Source organism: Homo sapiens, chromosome 2 (genome assembly GCF_000001405.40).
Source record: "Homo sapiens chromosome 2, GRCh38.p14 Primary Assembly".
Lineage (NCBI taxonomy): Eukaryota > Metazoa > Chordata > Mammalia > Primates > Hominidae > Homo > Homo sapiens.
Window position 1 is genome coordinate 223,606,329 of NC_000002.12, and position 17,925 is coordinate 223,624,253.

The 17,925-nt window shown below is 42.6% G+C and overlaps 2 annotated features.

Annotated features, from left to right (window-relative positions):
* Positions 6,723-7,017: an enhancer, noted in NCBI's record as "tiled region #12775; HepG2 Activating non-DNase unmatched - State 4:PromP, and K562 Activating DNase matched - State 8:EnhW". NCBI's record gives its function as "activates a minimal TATA promoter and a strong SV40 promoter by Sharpr-MPRA in HepG2 and K562 cells {active_cell/tissue: HepG2 | K562}" and the evidence as "EXISTENCE:reporter gene assay evidence [ECO:0000049][PMID:27701403]".
* Positions 11,771-12,426: an enhancer, noted in NCBI's record as "OCT4-NANOG-H3K4me1 hESC enhancer chr2:224482816-224483471 (GRCh37/hg19 assembly coordinates)". NCBI's record gives its function as "activates a minimal SCP1, AML or CMV promoter by ChIP-STARR-seq in naive and primed H9 embryonic stem cells {active_cell/tissue: H9 hESC(naive and primed)}" and the evidence as "EXISTENCE:reporter gene assay evidence [ECO:0000049][PMID:30033119]".

The following is a 17,925-nucleotide window of genomic DNA, read 5'->3' on the forward strand; positions in this document are numbered from 1 at the left end:
TCTTTGTTATTCAATTTCATATTTTATCTAGACAAGATTTTGATTTCTATCATTCATACAAGCAATCCTCTACCTTAGTAATCTTTTCATTTGAAACTTCTCGCTCTTACACTCCATTACACTTCTCATTTTGTTTCAATTTATATGGAAGCAATTGAGATCCAGAAGGCCAATGTGTCTTGTTTCTCCTTTTTCTCTTGTCTGCTTCTTCCCTGTCTCTAACTGCCTCCCTGCCTGCCCTTCCCTCCCATGGAAGATCAGACTCTCACGGTGGAGTCCAGATGCAGCACGCTTCAGCTGAGGTCCTCCAGCGTTCACCTGACTGTGCCAGCAAGGAGGGTATAGTGTCTACCCCGGCCCCTCAGGGCCTTGGCTACTTGTCCTTGCTCAGTCCTCACCTGCCTGCCTGCCTTCTCTTCTTTTTACTTTTTTTTCTTTACGCTCCTTGTTTACTCTTTACCACCTTTATCTTTTGCTTCCAAAATTTAAATTCCATTCTCTTAGTTGTAGTGCGCTTTATTAACAAATGACTGTTTTTTAACTCAGTGTCAAAGAAGAGTGAAATATTTTTCCCCTTCCCTTGCAAAGGCAGGGCCTGCCAAATTGCTGTTTGGAGAACACACAAGTCAGAAACAGGGTATACTTTATTTAATAATGTGACTGCACAGTTTCCCAGACAAAATCCACTAGGTTCTAGGAGGTAGAAACTCTGCTTTCTATTATTGTACCCTCATGCCAAAAATATGTTTGTGAATCGAGTTGAATTAAAGTTTTCTCATTCCTGCTACCAAAGCTTCACACATTTTCTCTTGGAATTTTTTAATCCTCTTACAGTAGCATCCTTATGCAAATGCACTGACTTTATTCATTTGCATTGCATGCACTGCTAGCAAATTCAGTTTAGTTTTTTTAAGGAATATTTTCCTCCACTACAGGAGCATTCTATATTTTTCTAACTTTTGCTTCATTTTGTAAAATATTTTCCAAGTATTTGAGTAAAAATATGAAATTGCACATAGAAAGAAAATTGAGCTATTCTTAATTCCAGTATTTGTTTATTCTTTGTAATATTTTTGCTCTGCATATCAAGGTACCACATTACTGACAGCCCTAGGTGAACTAGACAACATTTAAGGCTCTTTCTACCCCTTGACCTCTTTACTCCGTGAAATGACAGTCTGCTGTGAAATTTTTTTTATTTATCTGGTAGGTATTAAAATACGATTTTTCTCATAAACCCTCAATAAGAATTGTATAAACCAAATAAACACAGGCTCTTCTCTTCATTGACTTTGGATTCTTGGAACCATCTGGTACTTGGAAGAAAAGCAAGTACCATTTTCTTAATCCAATACCATGAATGTTTGGGCATCTGCTCCCTCGATGGATTTCGGGAGAAGGAAGTTTGTGCACTGGAAGTTAATTACTTTGCTTAAAACAATGATGAATGTCTCAATCTTTCAGATTCTCCTAGTATAATTGTTTTGTGAATCAATGTTTTCAGCATTTACATGCCAATATTTTAATAACGATTTTTTTTTTTGGCTTGGAAATTTCCCACCTACACTCTCTCACCCCTCCTTTTAATCAAAAGCCCAGAGAGATGTAAGAAAGTCTTCAAGGTTAAAGTGCAGCATCTTTATGGTTAAGTTTAGCATTTTGTGTCCAGGGCTCCCACGGATTCACCAGATGACTTTTCACAGTTCACTTAGCCTTTGTAGGAATTTTGGAGTGCTTTCTATATCGGCAAAATGAATATATCACTTCTGGAGGTAGGGCACTTGCATATATAATATGATGAGGGGAGCTGAGAAAAGCCTCCTTAACCCAGAACTTTCTCCCCCAAATCCAGCCAGCCTGTCTGTATTCTACATCATAGGTGGTTTGGGGTTTTTTAGAATTTTTGGTACAGGGTCCTTAGGAGCTCCATTGTAAGGGATAATTCATTAATCAGTTATTACCTCCTTAGCAGGAATTAGCGCACAAATCAAATCATCTCACTACTTTGACACTGAAGAAAGGACACAGGCCCTGTATACTACAGGGGCATGATTAAAAGCATGTATTGTCCTGGCTAACAAGGTGAAACCCCGTCTCTACTAAAAATACAAAAAATTAGCCGGGCGCGGTGGCGGGCGCCTGTAGTCCCAGCTACTCGGGAGGCTGAGGCAGGAGAATGGCGTGAACCCGGGAAGCGGAGCTTGCAGTGAGCCGAGATTGCGCCACTGCAGTCCGCAGTCCGGCCTGGGCGACAGAGCGAGACTCCGTCTCAAAAAAAAAAAAAAAAAAAAAGCATGTATTGGAGTCGTGATTCTCAAAGGGTGGTCCCAGGTTAGCAATATCATCACCACTCAGCAATCTGTTAGCAACACACATTTTCAGACCCCACCCAGAAGGGTTCATTTAGCATAAAACCAAATATAAATGTAAATACACTTGACCTTTTCCGACAGCCTTCCTAGAGACTGGCTCACCAGCCCATTATTTGCTCCCGATATGGAAACGCTACTGATGTTTGCAAAGAACATCTCTTCCTGGCTTTATAGAGGTTTCAAATTGATTCTTGCATAAATACAGATGGGTTTATCTGAGTACAAATTAGCTCATAGATTGCTATGATTGGAAAGATATATAAAATGTCATCCACTCTAACCTGGCTCATTGCTTGCATCTGCTCTGTCAAATTCCTAACAAACAGACTTCCAGCATATAATATTAAGTTTCCTTAAATACCTCCAAAAAATAGCAACTCATTACCTCCCAATGCTCCCTATTCCATCTTTGGGCAAATTTATTCTCAAGTTTTGTGGGTATTTCCCCCCTTGTATTGGGCTGAAATATGACCCCCTGTGGCTTCACCATGGATCTGAGTTCTGCCCTGGAAGGCTATGTGGAGCAAGTCTTGGTCCTATTTTCTGTCACCAGAATCAGGCCTCACCAGCCAGTTTGCTTTTTCTAAATGAAACAGTTCTGTTAAATTTTCTTCGTAATTCATGGTGCTGGACCTCAGCTCCAAAGCACAGTCTTTGGCCTAATTCAATGTAAGACTTGAAAACAGCATCTAGCTCAGAGTGGATATCCTTCATCCCAGTCCCCTTGCCTAGAAAGTTCTCCCCAACCCCTCCAAGCCGCCCGCTTTTGCCCAGTCAACATCTTGCTTCTGAGGAAGCTCATTTCTCTGAGTTTCCTGACTCGGCCAATTCTCTCTAGAATATTCTCTCATGGAACCAAATATTTCTCTTGGTTAGTACTTAGTATAGTTGTAATATATTATAGCATTTTTATTTGTGGGATTCTTAGATTACTCTCTTCCCAAATGACTTTAATGTATTTGAGGACATAAAGAAGTCTGGGACATAAGTCCATTGTACCCAAAACCCAGCCAAACCAATGCTTAAAAATAGTAACATCTACAGGCCTGAGTTTCAGCACACACACACACACACACACACACACACATACAAATAATAATAATAATAATAATATCTAAAAATAAGCATATCAAGATCCAAACTGACCACATTTCCTTCCAATCCCTTACCTCCTTCTCAAAGTTCTCTCTTAACTAATTCTAATCTTGTCCCTCCAGTTCAGTCATGGAACTATTATCTCCTTGGCTTATTCTTGTACTTTCTCCCTCTCCACTGCCTCACCCCTTTATTTCCCCAGCCTTTGCCAATTCTTCCCAGTTGCCCCTTTCTGGTTTATCCATTTTCATAGCCTGTTAGCATTCTCTTACGTTTGGCCATTCAAAATCTCTCCCCAGCCTTTCAAGTGTCTATCACTAATCTTTCATACATGCCTTTCTATTGCAGGAAGTTAGGTGTTGGCACCTTAAGGGAAATAATACCTACTTCTAATTTGAACTAGCACTCAGGAACTACTGCTGACTGAATAACTAATGGGAAATGACAATGGGAAAAAATGAACGACAATGGGAAAAAAAAGCAGTCAATATCTATTAAATGCCTAAGTACAAGCCAAGGGGCTCCATCCTTTAAACACCATAGCAAATTATCTTTCAACATTTTTCCATCGTGAGCCTCCCCTGCTCAACTGGTGCCAGCTGGATTAACTTTCCATAGTTCAAGGTCTTCCACCGATTTTTTTTATGCTCCCTCATACTTCTGCATTCCCACCCTCCCTAGATTTTTTGCTGGTCCTATAATCTTCTCAACCAGAAGATATACTTAATCTTCTCAGCCCATCTTCATCTGCATCATTCTCCTTGCCTTGAAAATGTTCTTCCCCTCTTCCCCACCATTTTGATTCTTTTAAAAAGTTTTACTTGAGACTGGGTATGGTGGCCTATACCTGTGATCCCAATGCTTTGGGAGGCTAAAGTGGGAGGATTGTTTGAGGCCAGGAGTTCAAGAACAGCCTGGGCAACATAGTAATACTCCATTCCTCCATCTCTACAAATTTTTTTTTAATTAGCTGGGTGTAGTGCGGCATGCCTGTAAGCCCATGTACCACCACCTGAGAGGCTGAGGCAGCAGGATCACTTGAGCCCAAGAGTTCAAGATAGCAGTGAGCCATGATCATGCCACTGCCACTGCACTCCAGCCTCTCTCCAAAAAAAAGAAAAAAAGAAAGAAAAGAAAAGAAAAACAAAGTTTTATTTGATGTATCTTCTCAGTAAAACTTTCCTTAATTAACCCGTACCCCCTTGCATGCAGTTACCCCATTATTAGAGCACAGATTTTTAACCTGAAGTCCGTTGAAACCTATGAGATTAAATGCAAGTGTTTATGTACATGTGATCATGTGCTTTTTGTTGCAGGAAGCTCCAGGACTGTAAAGAGGTTCTCAAGTGAATCTATGACCTTGAGATTTTGTTGTAGCTCTTAGTAATGGTTACCAAATATTTCTGGCTCTCCTTCCTCCTGGGCTTATGATAGAATTGCACCGCCTGAACTCTTGTGATTGGGTGGCACCATGTGACAAGTTCTAGCCAATAAGCTTAGAGTCGAATGACATGTCCCAGAGCACTTTCCCTCACCACAGAGGCAGGCAAGTTTTGAGGTGGTGGTTGCTCACATAGCTTGCTCTGTGATTGGCTGCAATGTGCAGAGTTACCTTCCAGACCTTTCATGAACAGGTAAAGTGAGAAAATAAAGAAATAAAGTTGTTTAAGCAATTGATTTTGAGAAATTGTTATCACACATAACCTAGCCCAGCTTGACTGATATAACTATTGAACATGACTGGTTTGGAATATTGCTATAGCATGAATATTGACAGACTTTTAGTTATAATCTTACCCAAAGAAAGGAGATAAGACCAGTTGACAGTGAGAAGCTTGTCCTGCTTTCTCCTGGGTGCTCCTGTACTCCAAGGGGCCAATCAGATGCATGTTTCCCAGCATATGAAAAGCATATCCATAACACTATTGGAATGTTTTTGCCAGGCATAGATATGGCATTAAGTAGCATTAAGTTCTATAGTTGTCTGAAATGTATTCCTTGTGCAATTCTCCTAGTTACACAAAAAAGAAACTATCAGAGGCTAGCGTGAACACCTTTCTGATGCTTGAAAATCCTCCTTTTTGGCCTTAGACTCTGAGCTTTCTGCAGGCTGCAGGATCTAACCAGAAATTCATTAACATCTTTATGGTTGTATTGAACTTAGGGTTTGAATTTCTTTCCATTTATATAGGCAATAAAATTTTCAAGTTGATGCAGTGATATAAACCTTCTTTGATTTAGGCTTAACAAGAGGTTCAATATTCAAAAAAATTAAGTAAATAGTAGCACAAATAATGCTTAGAGATAACAAAGTAATACTTCAAATGACTAATTTTTTTGGGGGGGAGAAATTTTGTATTATCTTGTAGTTCAATCTTGGGTGAGGCCTAATTCCCATTTTGGAGTCCAAAACTCTTGATTGTGTATTCTCACCTCTCTCTTCTTCCTGTCTCCAAGGGTTCTCAAGATTCATTGAGCAGGCAGGGCACTGTGGCTCACACCTATAATCCTAGCAGTTTGGGAGGCTGAAGCAGGAGATCACTTGAGCTTAGGAGTTGAAGACCAGCCCAGGCAACATAGAGAGACCCCATTTCTACAAAAAATTTTTAAAAATTAGCCAGATATGATGGCACACAACTGTAGTCCCAGCTACTCGGGAGGCTGAAGTGGGAGAACCATTTGAGCCAGGAAGTTGAGGCTGCAGTAAACTGTGATTATGCCACTGAACTCCAGCCTGGGCAACAGAGTGAGACCCTGTCTCAAAAAAAAAAAAAAAAAATTCAGTGACCAAAAACGTTGTGCGTGTGTGTGTGTTTTAACACTTTAGTTCCACAGCAAAACTTGCCTCAGAACATATTCAATAGGCAGGAGTTATGTACAGCAGAAGGTAGAAAACTGGGCTTGGGTCTGCTGTGTGACCTTAGGCAAATTACTTAACCTCCCTGGGCCTCGGTTTGTTCATTTGTCAAATGAGGGTAACATTACCTAGGCTGAGGCCTCAGAGAGTTGCTGCAAGGATTCAATTATATAATAGTTGTAGAAACGCGTTGGAAGGTCTGAGGCACTCTGCAGTTGCCTTCCCTGATTATTATTCAGCTCCCAGTCCCTGGGAATTCACTGAAACAGGGCTTGCCATGCCTGAATTTTAACATTGTAACCAACCTTAAAACATAATAATTTCCTTTTTACTGATGTGATTAGAATTGATTGCTGGACGCCATCGCAAACCGAGTCATTTGCAGCCTCTCCTCCATTAGACTGAAAAAGAAAAGAAACGCAAGTGTTTGCGTAACTGCTAGAAGCCTGTTTCTCTGTCAAGCCGGCGGAGGTGGAGTTTCTTCTGGGAGTCTGCTTCTGGCTCCCTTGACTTCAGCAGGGCTTGGCGTCAGACGGAAGGATTTTAAGTCAAAACACACACGGCTACAGGGAATACGATGAGTCATGTTCCGCCGGGGCTGAGCCGCTCCGGGGAATCAGCAGCAGAAATGAATGAGAGTGAACGCCTCCTCCAGGCCTGAGCCACCGCCTCCTCAGCCCAAGGCCAGGTTCACGGTTTTAATCATCAGTGTCTCCGCACAGCCCCGCATGGAGGGGCACGGCGGGAGCAGTTTGCACATTACACATTCACAGAGGCGCAGCCGTTCATTACAGTCATCCTCGGGCTCTGCCCTAATGAGACTCAGGAACAAGGCTTTAAATGTCATGATGCTTTTGTGTCTTTTCCTGATGGGAGAACTACACGATGCTGGTGATGCAGCCGGTTTCGGAGGAACCAGGGCGGGGGCCTCAGACGCAAACCCCGACATGACGACTATCTCCAAGGCCCCCAGACCTCTTGGCTACTAAGCCAGTTAGAGGGTTCTGAGTGAATGTGCCCCTTCAGATTCCCTTTGGGGTATTTATTTCCGGACCTAAACCCTAACATCTCTAAACTGTCTGCGTCTGTCTGGCTAGCATCCACCAGCTGAAGTAGGACTTGGGTCTTTTAACAACAACAAGGAGATTAAAATCCTGTGGTTTTTTTCCTACAATGGTGAATCCCTTTCTTCTAAACTCGGCTTCATTACTCTTTATCTTAGCCAAAAGTCAAGAATCATCCACGTATTAAAAGAGACAGAGAGTCAGTTAATGGGCACATTCTGGTGCCAAACCAGGTGCCTGGGTTTGCACCTGCCTCTTCCTCTTCCTAGCTGTGGAGCCTCAAGCTATTTATTTATTGTCTTTGTTCTTCTGCTCTCTCTCCTCTATAAAATGGAAATCATAATAGCAGTTACCTCATAGGGTTTTGTGTGACTTCAATCAGAACAATAAGCATTCGATAAATATAGTGCTATTATCATTATGACATATTTATTGACCTTTTATTTTCACCAAGACTTGCATCAGGCACTGACAACACAAAGCAAATAAAATTCAAGGGCTGTTCATGTGGAGCCTAGTGAGGAAAATATCTATACCCATTGCATAGGCTGTTTTGCATTACTATAAAGGAAGACCTGAGACTGTGTAATTTATAAAGAAAAGAGGTTTAATTGTCTCCCGCTTCTGCAGGCTGTGCAAGCATGGCACCAACATCTGCTTAGCTTCTGGTGAGGACCTCAGGAAGCTTACAGTCCCAGTGGAAGGTGAAATAAGAGCAGGCATGTCACACGGCAGGAGTGGCAGCAGGTTTGTGTGGGCAGACTTTTAAATAACCGGGTCTCACATGAACTGAGGGAGAACTCACTTATTACCAAGGGGCTGGTACTAAACCATTCATAAGGGATCCATCTCTATGATCCAGTCCTCCTGGCCTCACTTCCAACATTGGGGATTACACCACAACATGAGATTTGGAGGGGACAAACATCTAAACCATATCACACATCATAGCAGGCTGTGATAAATGGGAAGACAAGGGACCAGTGGCTGGAGAGAGACCATGATTAGTGTTGCATAGGAGGGCTGGAGATTTTAGATAGCAGGGAACCTTTGAACTTGAGTGTCTAAAATGGATGGAAGCTGGCCAGGAAAAGATTGGAAGCAGCTGAGTGTGGTGGCTCATGCCTGTAATTCCAGCACTTTTGGAGACCGAGGCAAGAAGATTCCTTGAGCTGAGGAGTTCAAAACCAGCCTGGGCATCATGTAGAGACCCCATCTCTACAAAAATTAATAATAATAAAAATTAACCAGACATGGCAGCATGCACCTCTAGTCTCTGCTACTCAGGAGGCTGAGGCAGGAGGATCGCTTGAACCCAGAAGATTGAGGCTGCAGTGAGCCATGTTCACAGCACTGCACTCCAGCCTGCAGCCTGGGCAATGGAGCGAGATCCTGTCTCAAAGAAAAACAAAGAAAGAATAGAAGCATTTGCTTCATCTCAATCTCTCAGCAAGTCTGCAGCTTTACGCAGAGCTTTCTTCAGTTGTCCGAAGAGAAGAGCAGGCTGCTCCCGGACCCTGAACGTGACCCACAGGGTATGTGGGTGTTTTAGAGCCTTATCTCTGTGTCTGGAGCCTGTCCCCACACCTGTGCTGCTCTAGAAGACACTACATGCTCCAGGGGTTTACTATGTCTCTTGCACCCAAAGATAACAAATCAAGTCAAAGAAGGGGTCTTCTTTTTTTTAAGACAGAGAGAGAGAGAGAGAAAGGGACCAAACAGATACTTGCCAGAGGCCAAGACATTCTATGTTTTTAGGATATTCCTGATCTTGGGGCTTTGGAATTAAGTTCTCATAGCTCTCATCAAGTAGTCACAATAGGACACTCAGCTAATGACTTTTCAGGATTTCTTGGATGTGGAAAGATAAAGTGGCAAAACGAAGGGTATGTGATCATGAGAATAGCTAATGTTTATTAAGTTGACTATATGTCACACCGTTTACAATTACTATATCTTTACACTCAACCTATTGGGAATATTACATGTTGAACTATGTTAACTTGCCATTTTTAGATTTAGAAAATGATCGAATATAGCAAGTTCATGTGGTTCAAGCTAATATCATTACCATTCTGTTGATGAGGAAACTGAAGCTTAGAGAGGGTCATGAATAGATGCAAGTGACCTGTGGTCAGATGATCTAGATTTGATTTCTGGTGACACCACTTAATAATAGTTTCTACCCTCATAAGGATGTTGGGGGGTGGTGGCTGTTAAATAGGATACTTTAATAAATAAGGGCCTAGCACATTTTGAGATTGCAACATTCTTTTTTCTATACCAACTAACCCTTGATCAAAGGAGAGGAAAAAATAAGTAGACTAATCCCCATTCCTAGGCAGTCAGAGGGTTAGGGGTGGGCGCTGGGCCTCCTGGTATCCTGCATTGACTACCAGGCCTGGTCCTGTTGTCCCCAGTTCCCAAGATCTAGTAAGAGAGAAGCATTTAAATGATCACTCTGAAAAGGAGGATTCAGTGATGAGTAGAACATAGAGCAGTGACTGGGTTTGAAATCAGGAAACTGGGGACAGAGGTCCTTTGTTGAGTTTCTGGAGACTTGGGATGACACTCTCAGTTTTGCTTAAAGGGACCACTAAGAAGGCAACAAAAACTACTGGGGTGGAGCATAAGAAAAACAGATACAAAAGAGAAACTGTCAAGAGTACCCATTGGTTATATCACTGATCACCATTTCCCAGGAGCCATGGAAATGGGAAGGCTTCCCAAGAGGCCCTCAAAAAGCTTCCTCTACTGCTGCCTTCTCTTTGCTACCCTGGGGCTAGCTATAAAGGAGAGCCAGGCACCAGGTTAGCGGTGCTACACAGATACAGGAAATCTCAACCCCTCATCGGTATTAAGATTACGGCTTCCCCTCATAGTCTCACTCTTTTATTCTACTCAAAACCATGATTAGTTGAGTGAAATAAATTTAAACTTGAGAATTTGGCAATCATCTTTTAAATAAGTGGCATCCCCACTGAACAAAACTAAATCCAACTGGGTATTGCTGAAACCAATTCTGTATAGTTGGGTCTTACATAGAGTGCATGGTAAATGTGTTCTCCCTTCCAGCCTCCTACCGTAGCACCACGAATCTTCCATGGAAACAATTATCTCCTTCAAGAACCAGCATGACTGGCCGGGCCCAGTGGCTCACGCTTGTAATCCCAGCACTTTGTGAGGCCAAGGTGGGCGGATCACGAGGTCGGGAGATCGAGATCATCCTGGCCAATATGGTGAAACCCTGTCTCTACTAAAAATACAAAAATTAGCTGGGCATGGCAGCGCGTGCCTGTAATCCCAGCTACTTGGGAGGCTTAGGCAGGAGAATCACTTGAACCCAGGACGTGGAGGTTGCAATGAGCTGAGATCATGCCACTACACTCCAACCTGGTGACAGAGCTAGACTCCGTCAAAAAAAAAAAAAAGAAAGGAAGGAAGGAAGAAAGAAAGAAAGAAAGAAAGAAAGAAAGAAAGAAAGAAAGAAAGAAAGAAAGAAAGAAAGAAAAAAGAACCACCATGACTGATGGAAGTTTGAACTATAGGTGCAAAATCCAGTAAGATGGGTATGGGCCTTGCTACATTCAGATTTGCCTCATTTTGTGCTTATCATTACTCATGTAATTACTTGTCACCATCAACTCAAACCAAAACCACAGAGCTTTTTTAAAAGGGGTTGACAAGGAAAAGGTACTTGTTTAGGGAACACTTTACCTCATCTTGTCCCCACATAGACCTGTCCCTCCATAGCTGCATCTCAAACCTCAGACCTTAGCCTGCCATTAGCACCAACCACATTGAAATCTCAGTTTCCTGAAGCCATGTTCTCTGACAGAATCAATCTGTAATAATGACAGAACACGCTATTTGGATAACCTTCCACTCATGCATTTATTCATTCATTTGCTCATTCATCAAATGTTTATTGAACTGATTGAATTATTCAGAAAGTAATGGTGCTGTGCTCTCTGCCCTCTTCGAGCTCACAGACTAGTGGCTGGGACTGAGGGTGGGTGCACTGAGCGGGGCGGGGGCGGGTAAGTGAAGGAGGCATACACGTACATCCTTGATGGATAAAACAGAATAAAACATGTTCTCGAGAGAGGCACAAGGAAAAGGCCAAGAGGGAATAGGAGCAATTAATTCTCCAAAAGTTTCAAGAGAGCCTTCATGGATATAGTGACATTTGAACAAGACCTTGAAGAAGCATTCAGGAGGAAGAAAAGTGAGGTAAGAACTTGCTCTCCTGAGGGAAAGGACTGAGCAAGATACAGACTGGGGAGGAAGGAGGTTTGCTGGGGGAAAGACTTTGGTTTGCCACAAGGAAAGCAGCCAACCTTTAATGAAGGTTCACCTTGTTCCAAGCACAGGGCTAAGTGCTTTACATTAATTAAAACATGCAATCCCTATAATAACGAGACAGGTACCTTCATTGTTCGCACTTTACAGAGTGGGAAACTGAAGGCCCCAAAGATCTAACAACTTTCCCAAGCTTGGATGTTTATTAAAGTGAGGAGCAGAGACCCCTGCAGGCAGTCTGCCTTCCTGACCACACCCCGCATTGCCCACGAGGATTGTGGTAGAGAAAGTCAAGCAAGGCTGGAGTCTTGACAGACATTGTCTCAAATGCAGATGAGGGGATTTGGGCTTCATTGTCAAATTTTCTAAGGAGAGAAAGGAAATAAATGACAACATGAGGGAAACAACTGGGGCAGCTGTGTGGAGAATGTATTTGCATCTTAATGAGAACATTTAACGCCTCAAGCCAGAGCTTCTAAAGAAGGGAAATTCAGACTTTCAGGTCGTCTAAAGAGGTTAGAGACTTACACATAAACGGAGGGCAGGCCCAGATCAGCTTAAAGACCCTTCACACATCCTGGGCAGGTGGCTTTCTACTGGATAGGAACCCACCTCACCCCCCCACTGCCAACGAAGTTATCTGGATCAGTCTTCTCGTTCTACAGATAAGAACAGAGAAAACTGCATTGTTTTGCCCCAAATCCCACAGCTGGAATGTGGCTGAACAGAGGTCCAAGTACACTTCTCTATCTCCAAGTCTTGCGTTTCTTCCACGGCATGGCCCAGGTTTACACTCCCCAGTATTTAAACCAGCAGGAGCGCACCAGCGGACTGCTCCACAGCCACACCTCCAACCTCTCCCGTCTACTTCAGCCCAAGGAGCACAGCCAGCCCTGGAGGAGCTGCAGCCCAAGATGTTGATGCTGCAAACAGGGAGATGCTGCAAACAGGGACAGTCGACCTTGACTGTCCTCCCAAACTAGTGAAGGTGCACTCCCTCACAGTCTGGCCCTACCTCCCACTCTCATTGGCCCTTTTTCTTTTTCTTTTTCTTTTCTTTTCTTTTTTTCTTGTCTGCAAAGCTTAGACCAAAGTAAGTAATCTAGAAATATCCAGAAAAGAGTTAATTAAAACAACTCAGGTTGAGAAGGCAGATGCAGAAAATCAAGGTGCTCCTGAAGTTTTGACACAGGACTCTAAGAGGGAGAAATGAATCTCAAGACCGCTGTGGGACACGTGCTCCCACAACTTCACAATTGAACACAAAGAGCTATTGCCTTACACCTAATTGCTCCAAATTAGGTGTTGCATGTAATTGCATTAAAGCCTTGCTAACTTCTTATTCGTGCATTTTTAAGGGGGGAAAAAGCCAGCCTGATTTCAGCTCTGTGCTCCTCTTCATGCCAATCTCTCATTCATTAGCTGCATTGTCTTGAGAGGAGAGTAAGGAGTCCTTCCAGCAGAGCACCACTTTTCCTGGAGTCATTCAACTTTCTGCAGATTTGATGAGAGTAAATCCCACTAGAATTTCCCTCCCTTAGCTGAGACCATGGCTACCTGAGCTGAGAGAGGAAGACTGGGGCTGGCGGATGGGAGTAAGGGATAGTCCTGGCCGCCAGCACATAGGCAGTCAGGAGAGGCAAATGCAGTCATACCTGGGTGGCAGCCTGTCTAGTGACACTCGAAACCAGGAATGTGGCAAAACTGGTGGTGTTCCTCATGGCTAGAGAGATAGTAACAGGACGCATTTTTCCAGAGGATGGTTCTGTTCATATCTAAGTCAGGTGTGAGAATCCAAAAAAGTCCAACCAAGTAGGATTTTGACCACTACCTGTTTAGAACCCTTCAAAGGCCAGCTGCTGCCCTAGATTAACTCCCAGTCCTGATCGCTGCCCCCGCCCCCTCCCGCTGCCAGTCCCTGCAGGGCCAGCCTTTGCTTGTCTCCCAAGTCCTGCTCTCTTTCACTCTCATCTCTGCCTTCTGTTCCTCAATTATGTGGGGCTTTCTACTGCTCCAGAACCTTTGCACATTCCACTGACTCTGCATGCAGTGTGGCTTCTTGCCCCTTCTACTTAGCTTCTATTCACAGTCTGTAGTCCTTACTTTACTCATCATTTCCTAATAGAAATTATCCCTGACATCCCAGGTTAAAGCAGGTTCCTTTTTCATAAACTCTCAAAGAAACTAATTTCTTACTGTATTGACTATAAATTCTTATTTTTTGCATTCTTGATGCTCTGACATTAGGAGCCTTGATCCTGGTGAGACTGCCCCTCCCAAGGCCAGCTGATCTCTACTTCCCTGCGAGCAGGCCTTTAATACACAAACCAAGAAATGCACAGCCCACACCTGTAACTATCTCCTTTACCAAACTGTCACAAGCCATGTCAACATTACCCTACCCTAAATCATCCCAGGGCCAACTATGGGACAACCAGAGAACCCCTCTAGAGCTCACATCCCCCAGATTATTCCAACTATCCAATCCCAAGCTTACTCAGTGTGCCTATTCTGCCTCACCCATTCCCTCCTATTAAACCCAATAAAGGCTCAGGGGCTTGCTCTGCCCTTCCCCATCTCTGCCTCTTGGCCCATCCTGGCCCTACCCCACGTGGCCCTGCATGGCATGGCATGGCATGGTGTGCTGTGCTTCCTATTTCCAGGAATCAGTGAGTATAAACTTCTTCCTTCATAACAATCATTTCTGTGTCTGCACATCTTACCATACTCATTTAAAACAAATACTGGGTGCACCTTAATACATGTACTCTCACAGGGCTTTCCTGGGTTTTTCCTATGATTTTTTTTTATGTCTGGCCCTCTAGCTTGTAAGCTCCCTGAAAGAAGTTTCCACATCTGTCAGTGCTGACGTGTGTGTGTGTGTGTGTGTGTGTATTGTGTGTGTATGTGTGTGATGCAGTCTCCCTCTATCACCCAGGCTGGAGTGCAGTGGCGCAATCTCAGCTCACTGCAGCTGCCACCTCCAGAGCTCAAGCAATTCTCTGGCCTTAGCCTCCCAAGTAGCTGAGACTACAGGTGTGTGCCACCATACCCAGCTGATTTTTTTTTTTTTTTTTTTGTAATTTTAGTAGAGATGAGGTTTCACCATGTTGGCCAGGCTGATCTCGAACTCCTGACCTCAGGTGATCCGCTCGCCTTGACCTCCCAAAGTGCTAGAATTACAGGCATGAGCCACTGCACCCAGCCTATGCTGACTTTTTAATCCCAGTACCCAGCACTGGAGTGATGCTCTATTAAACAAAAAAAAAATCCCAGTCCCCTGAGGGGAACAAGCAGCACTGTACGGGAAAGAGGAGGCCATGGCCTGCAGTCACAGACCAGATGACACAACTTGCATGGGAACAGACCTGGCACACAGGTGGATGGGTATCCAGCACTCCTCTAAGATAGGGGAGAGGCCAGGTGAGTGACAGTCAGACCAGCTCTGGACTTGATAGGCTGGAGAGATAAGCCTAGTGCCAGTGAGGTCTGGCTCACTGGTAGGCAGGTTAAAGGCATCTGTGACTGGTTGAGAGGGTCGGTGGGGAGCTTGGAGAGGCAGGTCTAGTCAAACTGACTGGTGAATCGGTTAGCATTTTAGCACACCCATCCTGAGAGAGCCTCAACAGGCCACTCACTTTACTTGAGGATCTCTACCATGTAGACAACATGAGGATCATAAAATAATACATGAGGGAGGGGGCAAAAAATAGGGGCTCCACCTTGCCAAGGAGAAAGTCACGAGTGCTCAGGACCTTACTTTGACTACTTGTCTGGAAGAAGCAGTCTGTGTTCTCAGCACACCCTTAGGATACTGCAGAGTACATCCATTGAAGCCCAAGGGCACTTAGAAACACAATCCGCGTGATGGTTGACATGGCTGTAACTGTAAAATAACAGCAGTGATAAACAACCCCCAGGGCTTAATCACAGGATGCCCGAGTGTCACTGTTCCTTCTCGCTTTCTCTTTAAAATGTGTCACAGAAGCTAATCATATATGCTGAGCATTGTGCTGGAAGCCCCTGCTCTGCTCTCTGACACAAGCATGTCCAATTAGAAGCCTAGCATCAAGCACCTCTGACCCTATCCGTGGGAGGCAGACTCCTGAGCCCTGGATTCTATTTCCAGCCTCTGCAATGCTGAGCCGGGTGAGGTGACGCATCACCTCGCCTGGTGTTTTCTAATTGACAGCCTGAGAGCATCGCATCAAGTGTTCCTTTCTCCAAGCCCAATTAAGTAGTTTCCTTCTCCCAGAAGGCAAATTTAAAAAAATTCTCTTTTAACTCCACTCTCCATTCCCATTCTCCAACTCCTAACCATGTCTGCATGGGCAAGCACACTCATGTGTTTAATGTGTATCTTTTTGCTTGTTTATATTCTTGCAAAATGGGCTTTGTTGTTCTGTGTGTATCTTTAATTTACCTACATTGTATTGTGTTAAATGTCTCCTTCCATTTCTTGTATTTTTATAACTCATCACTATGCCGCTATGGTTTATCCAAGTTGCCAGGTGTGAATCTAATCAGCACGGTGTAGGTATGAATGCCCCGTACCGTACTGGCCACTGACCCAGTGATGGCTGCTGCATTTGCTTCCAACGCTGCCTCACTGCAAACAGTATTGTAGAAGGTATCCCTGTGTGTATCCATTAACATCTGTGCATATTCTTATTTTTCTAATGCCAGATTGTTCTCCAAAGGCTCTTGAGGGCTTCTCTATCCTCACATGCCCATCCTTGCCAACTAGTGGCATTTTCCGGCCTCCTACTTTTTGACAAACTTATATGTGTAAAGTGATATCTTGTTATTTTATTTTGCATTTATTTGATTACTAATGAGTTTGAACAAGACTCCATGTGCTTGAAGGTCTTTGGACTTCCTCTTCTGGTTAGTCTATTTGTATCCTTTGACTATTTTTGTTTTGTGGCTGATATCTTGTAGAGTCTAGATTTAAATCCCTTGTCAGTTTTAAATATTTCAACCATTTTATCCCATTATGCCATCTATTAACTTTGCTTATGGCGTCTTTTGTTGAACAGAAATTTATAATTTGGATATTATCAAAATAATCATTTTTTATTCTAAAATATTCATTTGAGGTTTTGTATTTTAAAAGATTTCCTCTACCACTGTGTCACAAAAAATATTCTATATTCTTTTACTACATATGAGGTTTATAGTTTTACTATCTTTATTTAGGTCTTCAATCCCTTTAAAGGTCTACCTTTGGTTGTGGTATTATTAGAAATCCAGTTTTATTTTTCTCCTTAGAGTAAGCCACTTTTCCCAATCTCAACTAGTAAGTTATCTGTGAATTCCCTATTGATCTGTGGTGTTAAATTTATTGTACACAAAGTTCTGTATATTCATGGGCTCTCTCTCTCTGCTCTCCATTGTATCCCATTGGTCTCTATATCTGCTAATGAACATATGCTGTACTTTTTATTATAATGACTTTGTAGGTTAATTTCTGTAAAGGTCAGTACATACTCAATATTTTTAAGGTTAACTTGGATGCCTTGGATCTTCCTTCTCTCCAAATAAGTTTAGCAAGTTCTTTTTAAAGTTCAATGGGATTGATAAATGCTATTCCATTGAATGTAAAATTAATTTCATGAGAATTGATACCTTTACAATATCGTCATTATATTCAGTAAATGCCTCCATTTATTTATATAACTTTCAATGTCTTTAATTAAAGGTTGAAAGTTTGTCTTCTTGCATAAGATAATTTCTAAATACCTTATGGATTTTGTTGCTGTTGTAAAAGGTATCGTAATTTTGATGATATTATATTAGGTACTAGTATAGAACAATTATAGTGCTATTTGGAGCTTAATCTTGTATCCTTAAACTTAATCCCTTTGCCAGTTCAAATAGTTTATATGTTGTGATTGTTGGATTGTTTTATGTAGGTAGTTATATCACCTGAAAGCAACCACAGTTTTATTTGTTTTCCTAAATCCATATACTGTATCACTTTTACCTGGGCCAGGAGCCCCAGTACTCTGAAAACAGAAGTGCTAATATAGGGAATCCTTGTTTTTTTTCCAACCTTAGACATAATACGTATGTAGTGTCTCTATTAGGTATAATATTTGCCACAGATTTTTGGAATATTATTTTAATTAGGTTAAGAAAATTCTTTTCTAATTCTAGTTTGTGAAGAGTTCTTATCACAAATAAGTTTTAAATCTATGAAATGCTTTTGATACAGGGATTACAATATTCATAA